Source organism: Homo sapiens, chromosome 4 (genome assembly GCF_000001405.40).
Source record: "Homo sapiens chromosome 4, GRCh38.p14 Primary Assembly".
NCBI classification, from domain to species: domain Eukaryota; kingdom Metazoa; phylum Chordata; class Mammalia; order Primates; family Hominidae; genus Homo; species Homo sapiens.
In genome coordinates, this window is record NC_000004.12 from 139057220 (window position 1) to 139070652 (window position 13433).

Below are 13433 nucleotides of genomic sequence, written 5' to 3' on the forward strand. Positions count from 1 at the left end.
GTAACTCCCAAATGGGAAAATAATCAAGTGAGTTTTTCTTTGAGCTTTTGTATAAAAGTATCATCAATATATTTATGGAAAAGTTTAAAAGATTACAAAGGGAACTGTTATAAACAATTTCTGACCTAAGTAGTATGTGATCAATTAAAAGACAAAAAATATTATGTATGAGTTCATCTACATTTCTAAAACATGTAAAAATAGATAACTTTTCTTTGTAGTAGAAAGAGCATTAAGATATGGAGTGACAGACAGTAGTAAAATTACATAGTTTATGTAATCCTTCAGATACCTTAACTTCCTAATCTGTAAAAGGGCTAGAAGAGTAATTGTTCTTTTTAATCCACAAAAGGTCTGATTGTGAAACAAATGGTTTAAAGTGTTTTACAAATATAAATTCTTTAAGTGCAGCCAACTAAAATACTAAATTCATTACGTTAAGCAGAACATTATAGTTCATCATAATTAGAAAGAAACTGGCAACATGCAGATATTTGCCAAATATTAATATAATGGAAGTAGAATTTCTTCATGCAGTAGTTGGGAAGGAGAAGAGAGATGTTTTATCACTTCCTAACTAAAACACTTCTATACTGACTTTTAAATATTGTTTAAAATATCACCAGAGACCAAAACAGAAGATAAATTTCATTTCTATATTTCAGAAAACCTACTTGAATACACTTTGAAACAAGAGTACAACAAAATAGAATATACTTCAAATGTTGAATATACAAACTATTATAGTTCAAAACTGAACACTGGTATTTCCCTCATAAACTTCAACTAAAAAAAAGAAAAAAAAACAAAGAAAACTCCAGGTATTAGAGCTACCTGCCAAAAATTCATGCTGAGCCTGAACTTCCAAGTGACAGCAGAACTGAAAATGGTATGTCTGCACAAATGCCAAGGCTAAGTGAGTGACACAGGCATGTTACAGCAAAAGGCCAGAGCCAACTGTTAATTTGTCCACAATTAAGAAACTGACAGACTTAAACTACCATATAAAATGTTACATGTATATTCTATAACAATACTGTGCTAGGTACAAGATTTTTAAAATTTTTCTTTTAATAAAAAAGCTTTACACAAACAAGCCATTAGCTTATTTCAAGAAAGAAAATCGAAAATTAGTCTAAGGCCTTTGTTTTAAATCAGCTTAAGCTATATGATATATATATATGTATGTATATATATATATATATATATATAAAATCGCACTAGATCTTTTTTTGCTATCCTCTTTCTGAAGTTTTTGGGATCCATTCTTCAATTCACATTCTAAAATACCTATATTAGCAGAGTCTTCACATAGCACCAGTTAAGTGAGAACTGTGCGAACACAGTAATAATTGCTGGTATGCATATAAAATGCATCAAAAATTGCTATATGTAACAATGAGATTACCCATCCCAACCCCTCCCACTGAAAACTATATAACCTCTTACAGAATGTTAGTGTTCCAAGTCTTAGTGTAACTTGATATCGTAGTGAGCTGCTTGGTCCCTTTCGATCCTTTTTCTTATTGATGGGTTCAGTTGTTTCCTACTGTAAGAGGCAGTTTTCTGTCAGCATCTCAATATGTAGTTCATTTCCCACTGAAACATGGGATAGGTAATTTATTTCCAGTAAGTCTGATTGTTTTTGTATATGCATTAAAAATGTTTTAAAGTCTTCTTTGACTTTTCTTGATGACTTCCCTTGCAAATGTTTATGTCAGTACTGCCACTAACAGCCTGAAGTCCATGGTGGAGCTGCTATTTTATTTCTCACATGTCACTAGTCCTTCTGTTTTCATAGTTACAGGAAGGGCAATAGCTGAAGGCGCACTGACAACCACTACGTGGGTCACTGTCTTATTTCCATCTGCTGGTTTTTCTTCTACTAGCTGCAAAGTTTTCACATCATGTTCTTGCTTTTTTGCCACTGCTTCCGATTTAACCTCTGGCCCCTTTATGACTGCACTGATAACTCGAGGAGGAGTCTGGCCAGATGCCTGCTGAGTAGGCATTGATAGTCTCATTACAGGTGTACCATGGGCTATTGAAACAGGGGTAAGTGCTCTCACAGCCAATGGGGTTCCAACAATGTTAATGCTTCCTGATCCAGTCAGATTTGACTTTGTCTGCAGTTGACACTGTGCAAGCTGTGTAGCTGGGATGGTAATAATTTTGGCAGGCTGCATGGTGATTTTGTCTCCATTTTCAGTAGAAGCTGGCATCACAGTAGGGATTGTCTGAATGACTACCTTTGGAGAGGTCGCTGTTGTTGGACTAGTGCTGGTTATTAATGGTGCACCTGCATTAACTGACTGAACTGCCACAGTTGAAATTTTCTGACCCAATGATGTCATTACAACAGGTACCTGCATTGCCACACGAACTGTCCTAGTACATTAGAAAGAAAAAAGCTGATTATATTTAATGCCAACTGAGAAAATAGGTCTCCTGAGTAAAAGATTAATACAAATCCAAAATGTGTAAAATTAGTGCTCCCAAATTTTACAGAGGTACTGGCAATCCCTGATGTTTGACACAAACATACCATGATATATTTTAAAAACTAAAGCCTACATTAAGCTCCATCTATAAAACCATAAAAACCAATTCAGGTTATTTAAGACATCTACTTTTTTTTTTTTTTTGGAGATAAGGTCTCAGTCTGTCACCTAGGCTGGAGTATAGTGGTGCAATCTTAGCTCACTACAACCTCCAACTCCTAAGCTCAAGTGACTCTCCTGCCTTAGCTTCCTCAGTAGTTAGGACTACAGGTGTGTGCCACCATGCTCAGCAATTTTTTATTTTTATTTTATAGAGAGGAGGTCTCACTACGTTGCCAAAGCTTGTGTTGACCTCCTGTCCTCAAGCAATCCTCCTGTCTTGGACTCCCAAAGGGCTATGATTATAGGCGTGAACCACTGAACCCAGCAAGACATCTACTTTAACAACAATAAAAAATATAATTAAAACATCAAGCACTTTTCAAAGTCCTGACAACACTGGGTTCTTAGAACACTAATATTAAGCAAAAGGACATTTTGTTTTCACCACGGAGACTTTTTTAAAAAGTAAATACATTGTAACTAATGGTTTGCTTCACTTACCTTGGAGCTGCTGTTGCTGACACAGATGCAGTGGTAGTAGGAGACCTGGATGAAGCATCGTGCCCAGGGGAAGTGATATTCACAACTCTAGCTACACCCTTCTCTGCTCTGGAGCAGTTTATAGGGGATGAATTTTTTCCACTGCGAACAGAGGATGCTGCTTTCAGGAGACTTTCTGCAGACAGTGACACTCGTTCTAATGATTTTTCATCAGTAGTTCCTGCTAAATCTTCATTACAGGTTTCACTTTTGTCATCATCTATGACCACTATGTTTTTCGGCATATCCTTGAACTGATATACAAGCCTCTGTCCTTCAACCTTTGCAAGAATTCCCCTTTGGTAGTAGTATCTGTAAGGGGAAAATGTACCAAATGAATCAAGTATATTATTTCTTCACCCCACTCCACCCCCGCCAAAAAGACCACATACAGTGGATACTAACAGAAACATTCCCTTATCTCTAATAACAGATGAGAAAAAAACAAACTCTTACTGCCTAGATTGCTCAAAAGGTTACAAATTTAGAGTAGGAATCAAGTTGGAACCTGGGGCCAAGGTCCTACAAACTTAAGGTCTATAAACTGGCTGAAAGTTCATTCTTTTTCTTAAAAGAAATAATTTACCTTACCGTTGACTATTTTACTATACTGACAATGGTAGAAATTATTTTCTGATTTACATAGGTTGTAACAACAAACTGATATTACTGGAAAAATTACCTAAGCCACACTTACTTAGTAGAGATATGTGAATACTGTCACATAAACAATGTGTTCACTTAAAAACACCCTTAATTAGAAGAAGCCATGTACTTTACAATGAAAGAATTTTGTGGGTTTATCAAACTGATAATTTTTTTTTTTTTTTTTTTGAGAGTCTCGCTCTGTCACCCAGGCTGCAGTGCAATGGCACAATCTTGGCTCACTGCAACCTCCGCTTCCTGGGTTCAAGCGATTCTCTTACCTCAGCCTCCCGAATAGCTGGGATTACAGGCGAGCGCCACCAGACCCGGCTAATTTTTGTATTTTTAGTAGAGACAGGATTTCCCCATGTTGGCCAGGCTGGTCTTAAACTCCTGACCTCAAGTGATCCACCCAACTCAGCCTCCCACAGTTCTGGCATTATAGGCGTGAGCCACCATGCCCAGCCAAACTGATAAAACTTAAGATAAATTTTCCTATCAACATAAATCCATTTATAACAAACCCCTAAAAACTAAAAAACAAACTAACTTTAGGAACCATAATTTGTTTAGGTTTAATTTTTTTTTAAGCCTACAACTTCATAATTTCTATTAAGAAACACTCCTAAGTACAAAAGCACATTTTCTGCAAAAATGAATTTTCCAATTATGTTAAAATTATAAGCACGTAGACCAAACTCCTATCTCCCCACCTACTTCCAAATCTAAGAAGCTCCTCTAGAATATCCCCCAAAGTTAAAAGTTGTAAAGGATTTTCAGCTTCTCTTTAAACAGCTAATAGACATATAAAGAAATACATAAATTTTGTTTGAATACTAGCTCATTTGAGTTTTTACCTCAAAGCTCGTCCCATGGTTTCATAGTTCATGTCTGGTTTGTTCTTATGCTTTCCCCAAAGCTTAGAGACAGCCTTTGAATCCACCAGCTTGAATATGCCTTTTTCTCTCTGAGTCCATTTAATATACCTGGGACAAGTATTTTTATCTTGAAGTAGATCTAAAAGAAACTCCCACAAATAGGTTGTGTTTCCTTTAAAAACAATGACAGACATTGATTAAAATTCATTAACATAATTAAATACATAATTAAAAGCAAATAAAGTGTCCTTCATTGTATCATAAAAATCCTGAATATACTTGTTTCTACTTTTTTTTTTTTTGGAGACGGAGTCTTGCTCTGTCGCCCAGGCTGGAGTGCAGTGGCACAATCTTGGCTCACTGCAACCTCCACCTCCCAGGTTCAAGCAATTCTCCTGCCTCGGCCTCCCGAGTAGCTGGGATTACAGGCACATTCCACCACACCCGGCTAATTTTTGTATTTTTGGTAGAGACAGGGTTTCACCATGTTGGCCAGGCTGGTCTTGAACTCCTGACCTCAGGTGATCCGCCTGCCTCAGCCTCCCAAAATGCTGGGATTACAGGCGTGAGCCACTGTGTCCGGCCTGTTTCTACTTTTAAAAAAATGGTATCCCCTATGTATGCTTACAGTTATGATGCTAAAATACAGGTTCTGGCTTTTATACTATTACATATCACACTATCCTAGATTTTGAGTTCAGTAAAGGCAAAGGCATAATTGCTTAGGCAAAGTTAACCTGAATTAAACAGAATCAAATTTATTAGTTTATACAGATTTAAACTGAATAAATTTATTTACACCTTTATCATATGATAAGCCTAAATTCCATGATCAAAATTCACCAAAAGGGACTTAGTAATTTTATTGGATACACAAGCAAAATACAACGAAATGTGTAAAACTTTTAGGCATCAGACCTAGGGTCTTTTTGTAAGAAACTTACTTTTCTTTGATTCACCTACAGGCATGAACTCTGAGGTATATGTATTATTAAGTGCAAACTACCCTCAACCCTTTAAGGATTTTCTTATCATTTTCCTCTGTACTACCAGTCAATTAAGACTTGATAGCAAAGAACATTACTGTTGGCGGGGTGTGGTGGCTCACACCTGTAATCCCAGCACTTTGGGAGGCCAGGAGGCGGGCATATCACGTGAGGTCAGGAGTTCGAGACCAGCCTGGCCAACATGGTGAAACCCCATCTCTACTAAAAATATAAAATTTAGCTGCGCATGGTGGCGTGCACCTGTAATCCCAGTTACTTGGGAGGCTGAGGCATGAGAATCGCTTGAACCCAGGAAGCAGAGGTTACAGTGAGCTGAGATCGCACCACTGCACTCCAGCCTGGGCGACAGAGTGAAACCCTGTCACAGGAAAAAAGAAAGAAAAAAGAACATTACTGCCTCTAAAAACAGATTTAAAAAAATTTTCTAATCGCTTTCTACTGATTACACCCAATAGACGGAAGATAATGTTTAAAGGATTTCATTATATATACTTATATCTTAAATTCTGAGGTCCTAAAATGGAAAAATATGGTAATTCCTTAAAATTAGTCAAGTATTCATCAAATGTTAACTGTAACATTAGCTCTGGATCACACTACTAGTAAAATTTTAAAATGAGGAAATATTAGAATATTTCTGCAGAATAAAATGCTTATTCATCGCATACCATGCTTAAGGAGATGAATTTAAAACCTGGTCCCTGCCTCAAGGAATTTATAATTTAGTTGAGAAGGGGAAAGAAAGTAGATGACAAGTTAAACAACAATGCAAGAAATAAATAACAATTTGAAACAATATAAGATCTATCACAAAGCAATGCATAATTAATTATATTCCAAATAATCTAGAAAATATGTCTGTGGGATTCCAAGAGTGAAAATAAAGTGGACTGGGAGGCCATCATGAAGTCTTGGAAGATGGCTAGGATGTGCATAAAAGAACAAAAAGGAATCTGGGCAAGTAAAAAAAAAAAACTTAATCCCAAAAGGAAGAAAGTATCACACTTTTTTCTCCCTTATTATGGAGGAGAGAGTAGTAGGCAGCGGTCATTAGAAGACGCTTTTCAGATTGTTTTTATTTTATTCCCTTCATAACCTCTAGGTGCCAAGGTTCTTATTAATAGAAGAACAGAAGGCTGGACGAGGTGGCTCACGCCTGTAATCCCAGCATTTTGGGAGGCCAAGGTGGGTGGATCACCTGAGGTCAGGAGTTCATGACCAGCCTGGCCAACATGGTAAAACCCTATCTCTACAAAAATACAAAAATTAGCCAGGCATGATGGCGGGTGCCTGTAATCCCAGCTACTCGCAAGGCAGAGGCAGGAGAATCCCTTGAACCCAGGAGGCGGATGTTGCAGTGAGCAGAGATCACGCCACTGCACTGCACCGCACTGCCTGAGCGACAGAACGAGACTCCGTCTCAAGAAAAAAAGAACAGAAAAGAGTCCTGAGACGAAAAAGATAGGTCATCTGTAGGATTCCATGCACTATTCGTTTACTATCCTTAAATCCAGTTCTAAGATACAGGCTATGTGGGAAGCTTCCAAAACAAGCCAGCACTACCCCAACACCTTCAGTCAAAGTACTGATGTTTTGTCTCTGGCATTTCACTTTCATTGTGGCTTTCTCTGAAAATCCAGTAAATTCATTAATAACACAGAGTTCAACCCATTATGCATCTACTGACCTGAAAAAGCTGACCTTCGGCCGGGCGTGTTGGCTCATGTGTGTAATCCCAGCACTTTGGGAGGCCGTGGCGGGCGGATCACCTGAGGTCGGGAGTTTGAGACCAACCTGACCGACATGGAGAAACCCCATCTCTACTAAAAATATAAAAATTAGCCGGGCGTGGTGCCACATGTCTGTAATCCCAGCTACTCAGGAGGCTGAGGCAGGAGAATCGCTTGAACCCGGGAGGCAGAGGTTGCAGTGAACTGAGATCATGCCATTGCACTCCAGCCTGGGCAACAAGAGCGAAACTCCACCTCAAAAAACAAAACAAAACAAAACAAAACAAAAAAAATGACTTTTAACTTTACAAAGTTACATTTGTATCTCTAGGACCCTATTACACCAGCATCACTACCTAAAAACTATTAAAACAAACCATGTATAATCTTCAGTTATTTTCTTTTTTTTGCATTTTTATTTTGTTCACATAGTAGTAAATGTGAGCAAAGATTTTACTCTGGAAGAAATGTTTGTATAACATAGACAATGCCCTGTACATAAGATATCTGAATGTTTCCATGTTTTGAATTAAACTCATCAAAATCCCTCATATTATCTTTAAACACTCACTGCACCCATGTTGCCATCCCCAAGTTAAAATGAACAATTCTAAGGAGGCCAAGGCTGAAGGATCACTTGAGCCTAGGAGTATGAGAATAGCCTAGGCAACATAGGGGGACCCGTCTCTACAAAAAATTTTAAAATTAGCCAGACACGGTGGTATGTGCCTGTGGTCCCAGCTACTTGGGAGGCTGAGGCAGAAGAATACTTTAGCCTGGGAGGCTGAGGCTGCAATGAGTTATGATCCTGTCACTGTATTCCAGCCTAGGTGACAGAGTGAGACCCTGTCTCTATAGAAAAAAATTATTAAAAATTATATTTCTGGTTTTAGGGAAAACAGGATTCAGAAAGAGAAGCTTTCTTTACCAGGTAATAAGGAATTTGCCTATGACTATTATCACAATTTTACAGAAGAAAAAACACTGGCTGGACTTTGAATACAGGTTTGACTGTAACAGCTTCAATTAATTACATTATAACACACTGCCTCAAATTTAATACAAGACTGAAATTGTAATGAGATGTGATTTTAATTGGTAAAAACTGGTCACAGTTTTTCTCCAGCGTTAAGCAAAAGATATTCAAGTATAAGTGATACCACTGAGGATAAGAATTATTTAAAAAGACAACAGTAATAACTGTATATTTACAGTTTAATTTTCTAATACATACTATGTTAACTTTTAAAGTTTTCAATATAAACTAAAAGAAGAAACCTAAGATGTTAGAAGTGTACAACAACCAAAGACAAACAAGGAAATAAGAAAAGTATCCTAAGCCTCTCCCAAATTGGGTCACCAGTTCCTGAATGTGTTCAATGTCACCTTTTTTTTTTTTTTTTTTTTTTTTGACCTAATGAAATACCAAATTTCTTGGTAGGCTTACTGGAGACAATTTTTTTTAAACTAGACTTAATTTCTGTTTTAATTATTTAAAATTATTAAATCAAACCACCTGATAAGGACAGAATAAATTTAAATATATTAATGTAAAATTTATCCAACTATTGAATATTGGTCTGAAAACACTTATTCATGAAAGTGATAAATTTTCGGTTATCAGATGGGCAGACAGAACACATCTAAAACCACTACTGAAATGATACTTTATCTGTCAGAATCTGAGTGACAAGAAAATTAAAGGCCAGGTACGGTGGCTCATGTCTATAATCCCAACACTTTGGGAGGCCAAGATGGGAGGATCGCTTGAGGCGAGGGGTTTGGGACAAGCCTGGGCAAAACAGGGGCACTCTGTTTCTACAAAAGATTTTAAAATTAAAAAAAAAAGATAATAAAAATAATTTTAAAAAGAAATGTTACTTGAAATCATCTTACTCCACAAATTAGGAAAGCACAGAATGGGGGAGGTTTGGTGCTGTTTTCATTTTTAATCAGGATACACAAATTCTAAAGCAAAAATAGGCAAGGGGCAGTGGCTCACGCTTATAATCTCAGCACTCTGGGAGTGTGAGGCCGGAGGATCTCTTGAAGCTAGGAATTCGAGATCCGCCTGGGCAACAAAGCACAAGACCCCCATCTCTTAAAAAAAAAAAAAACAAATTAGCTGGGTGCGGTGGTGTGTGCGTGTAGTCCCAGCTACTTGGGAGGCTACAAGCACAGTAGCGCAAGGCTGCAGTGAGGTATGGTCATGCCACTGCATTCTAGCCCTGTCTGTAAAAATAAGTCAATAAATAAGCAAAAACATGGTTTTGTTCTGAATTGTGACTGATGTGACTGACATTTATTGATTGGAAAATTAAATTTAGCTCACCTTGAATTCTTCTAAACAGTTAAGAAGTTATGTATCAGGCTAGTTGCAGTGGCTCATGCCTATAGTCCCAGCACTTTCAGAGGCTGAGGCAGAAGGATCACTTGAGCCTAGGAGTTTAAGACCTGCCTGAATGACAGTGAGACCTCATCTATACAAAAAATTAAAAAAAAAAAAAGAAAGAAAGAAATTAGCCAGGCATGGTGGCATGTGCCTGTGGTCCCAGCAACTCAGAAGGCTGAGGCGGAAAGATTACTTAAGACCAGGAGGTCAAGGCTGCAATGTGCCATGATCACACCACCACACACCAGCCTGGGCAACAGAGCAAGACACTGTCTCACAAAAATAAGAAAAGAAAGAAATTATTAGAAACAAGGTTTAGTTGTAAACCCCTTTGAATTATGGGTAGCTATATATGAGGATGGGTGCTATTATCCTGTAAGTCAATGGTTCTTAAGGAGGATATGTATCAGACATCCTTTGGACTTTTTCCAAGTCCCTATATCCCCCATGATACAACTATGGTTACAGAATCTCTGTGGTGTAGGAACTGGGCACAGATATTTTGAAAAAGCTCCCCACGTGATGCTGATACATCCCTTATTAAGAACTATTACCAGCGACAGTATTCTCATATGTGCATGTACTAGAAATAGTTTTCTTACAAATACAAAAATGTCACCTAACTGAAAAAAAATCATCTCACTTCCAAAGCAACCCTCCCCAAATTACCTTTTCCTTCTCTTGGTTTCTTCTTTATACCTAACTCAGGAGACCCATTGGAAATTGGTGATTGCTGGGTCTTTGGTTTACGGCCAACTGAAAAAATAAGATATTGAAACCATACGTTGAAAACAAGAAAAATATGAGAGGCACGATTAGCAGACTTTCTGATTACACATTATTCATTTAAATGGATACTAATTTGTAGATGAATATACTCTATGAAAAGCTGCTTCTAAAAGGAGTATTACAAACACTTTTGTATTTTAGATTACAGCAGTTAGTAGTAATCTCTGTCATACACATTGGCAGAGCCTCGATTGCCATATACATTGGTCAGAGCCTTGATTTGCCAATCTTTTTTTTTTTTGAGACAGAGTCTTGCTCTGTCGCCCAGGCTGGAGTGCACGATCTCCGCTCACTGCAACCTCTGCCTCCCGGGTTCAAGCAATTCTCCTGTCTCAGCCTCCCAAGTAGTTGGGACTACAGGCGCCTGCTACCACACCCAGTCAATTTTTTGTATTTTTAGTAGAGACGGGGTTTCACCGTATTAGCCAGATGGTCTCGATCTCCTGACCTCGTGATCCGTCCGCCTCGGCCTCCCAAAGTGCTGGGATTACAGGCGTGAGCCACTGTACCCGGCCTTGCCAATCTTTTATATTAGTGTAGCAATAGAAACAAATCCTAGTAAAAACTTAATTTGTTTTCTGTTCTACAGGATGGTGAGAAACAGCTTTAGCAACTTATTGCAGAAGATCTGATAATTTGCAAAGCCCTTTGAACTCAAATGAGGAAAAGTAAAAAATATCAAACACTCTCTACTGCTCTGGATCAGTTAATTCACCAGAATTCAAGCATAAGTGTTTCAATTTCCCCACTTCCACATGCAGATACATCACAAGGCTAAAAAAAACTTCCAAGTGATTTCATATGTCTAATAAAGGTTTGTGTCCTTCCCTTTTGTTCCTCCTCATTTTTGCCATAAGGCTCTCTCAGACAGACTAGCATCCACAATGAATAGAAAAAGTAAGGGCTATATACTTTTCTACACGAAAGAGGATTAAGCCTGAAATTAGTTATATTCAATCCTGAGCACAAATGAACACTGGCAGGTGAGAGGCAGACTCAAGAAATAAATTGGGAATACTTAAGTATGTTGTATTTTAAAATCAAATACATATATATACACACACATAAATACATACACTTTTTTTTTTTTTAAGAGATGGAGTCTCACTCTGTCACCCAGACTGGAGCGCAGTGACGCGAACACAGCTCCCTACAGCCTGGGCTCAAGCAATCCTCCCACCTCAGCCCCCTAAGTAGCTGGGACTACAGGTGTGCACCACCACGTCCAGCTAATTTTTGTATTTTTTGTAGAGATGGGTTTTACCATGTTGCCCAGGCTGGTCTTGAACTCCTGAGATCAGGAAATCTGCCCGCCTCAGCCTCCCAAAGTGCTGGGATTACAGACACGAGCCACAGCACCCGGCCATATTTTAGGATCAAATATATTATTACTGATTTGGTGACTGTTCTACATCTGAGATTTCTGATGTCACTCTATTCTTCATTAGGAAGCATTAGATTAATTATATAAAGAGCTAATTAAAGCATCTTAACATCTGTATTTCAAAATGCACAGATATACTTTAGAATTCTGGTAATTGTAATCAGAAGTCTGTTTTAACAAAAAGTAAAACAGAAAGTTCACTGGTCTCTGTTAGAATACAGCTTAATTACTCAATGTAAATAATATTTATACATATGAATCAGACAGTAATAAAACTAACATCTTCAGCATCTCCTAAATTCTAGCACAAAAGCCCAACTTAGTAGAAAAGTTAGTGCAAAAAGGCTTAATATATTTTCTCATAAAGCGGCACGTCCAAAGTCATGTTCCTTGATAAATTTCCTCCATAGGAAAATGGGTTCTATAGTCATATTAACTTTTAGAACACCATATGCTATCTTCTCTTGGAAGACAGCAAGATCCACAATGCACATTAGTATATTAAAGGCTCTCAAAATAAAAAGAAGTACTGCTATTAAAAAAGAACCTATCTAAGTTTGTATATCCCAAATGTACTTAACCACAAAAATATAAATAACGATACTCTTATTCTTCATTGTCTCCCTTATGGTAGTAAGTACAGACAGAATGGTTACATGTATTTTTTTTTTTTCTTTGAGACAGGGTCTCACTCTGTCGCCCAGGCTGGAATGCAGTGGCACGATTATGGCTCATTGTAGCCTCCCAGGCTTAAGTGATCCTCCTGCCTCAGCCTCCCGAGTAGCTAGGACTACAGGCATGTGCCACCATACCTGGCTAATTTTTTTTTTTATTCCTCGAGATGAGGTCTCACTATGTTGGCCCAGGCTGGTCTTGAACTCCTGAGCTCAAGCAATCCTCCTGCCTCAGCCTCCCAAAGTGCTGGAATTACAGGCCTGAGCCACCACACCCAGCCTTGTAATTTTTAAATGGTCACTAAGAGCTTTCACAGAAATAAATAAAATTGTATTAAATTGGCAAAGTATTTCCTGGATTATATCATATCACATCCTGGCTCCCTACATGGCCCCTGTTTTTCATGGTGTTTTCCATCTTCTTTTAAATGTGGTGTTTTTTTTTTTGAGACAGAGTCTTACTCTGTCACCCAGGCTGGAGTACACTGGTGCAATCTCGGCTCACTACAACCTCCACCTCTCGGGTTCAAGCGATTCTCCTGCCTCAGCCTCCCGAAAAGCTGGGACTACAGGCATGCAACACCACGGCTGGCTAAGTTTTGTATTTTTAGTAGAGACAGGGTTTCATCATGTTGACCAGGCTGGTCTTGAACTCCTGACCTCAAGTGATCCACCCACCTCAGACCCCCAAAGTGCTGGGATTACAGACGTGAGCCATCATGCCTGGTATTAAATCTAAACAAACATTTCCTAAGTATTTTGTGACAGCTCTCATTGGATGCAACCAGCCA

At 38.2% G+C, this 13433-nt stretch overlaps 1 protein-coding gene across 24 annotated transcripts in view; it reads right to left on the reverse strand.

Moving 5' to 3' along the window:
• ELF2 (E74 like ETS transcription factor 2) overlaps positions 1-13433 on the reverse strand; it is a 120696-nt gene continuing 107263 nt past the window's right edge. For 11 of the 24 annotated variants that reach the window (XM_047449740.1, XM_047449737.1, NM_201999.3 and 8 more), the window contains 4 exons: positions 10465-10551; positions 4646-4838; positions 3105-3455; positions 1-2388 (listed from right to left, as the gene is read on the reverse strand). In XM_047449740.1, the coding sequence (XP_047305696.1) occupies positions 1764-2388; positions 3105-3455; positions 4646-4838; positions 10465-10551 (1256 nt within the window). In that variant the 3' untranslated portion in view covers positions 1-1763. Of the gene's footprint in view, positions 2389-3104; positions 3456-4645; positions 4839-7360; positions 7448-10464; positions 10552-13433 lie in introns of those variants that run through there. The other 13 variants (NM_001331036.3, NM_001276458.3, NM_006874.5 and 10 more) reach the window with 6 other exon arrangements.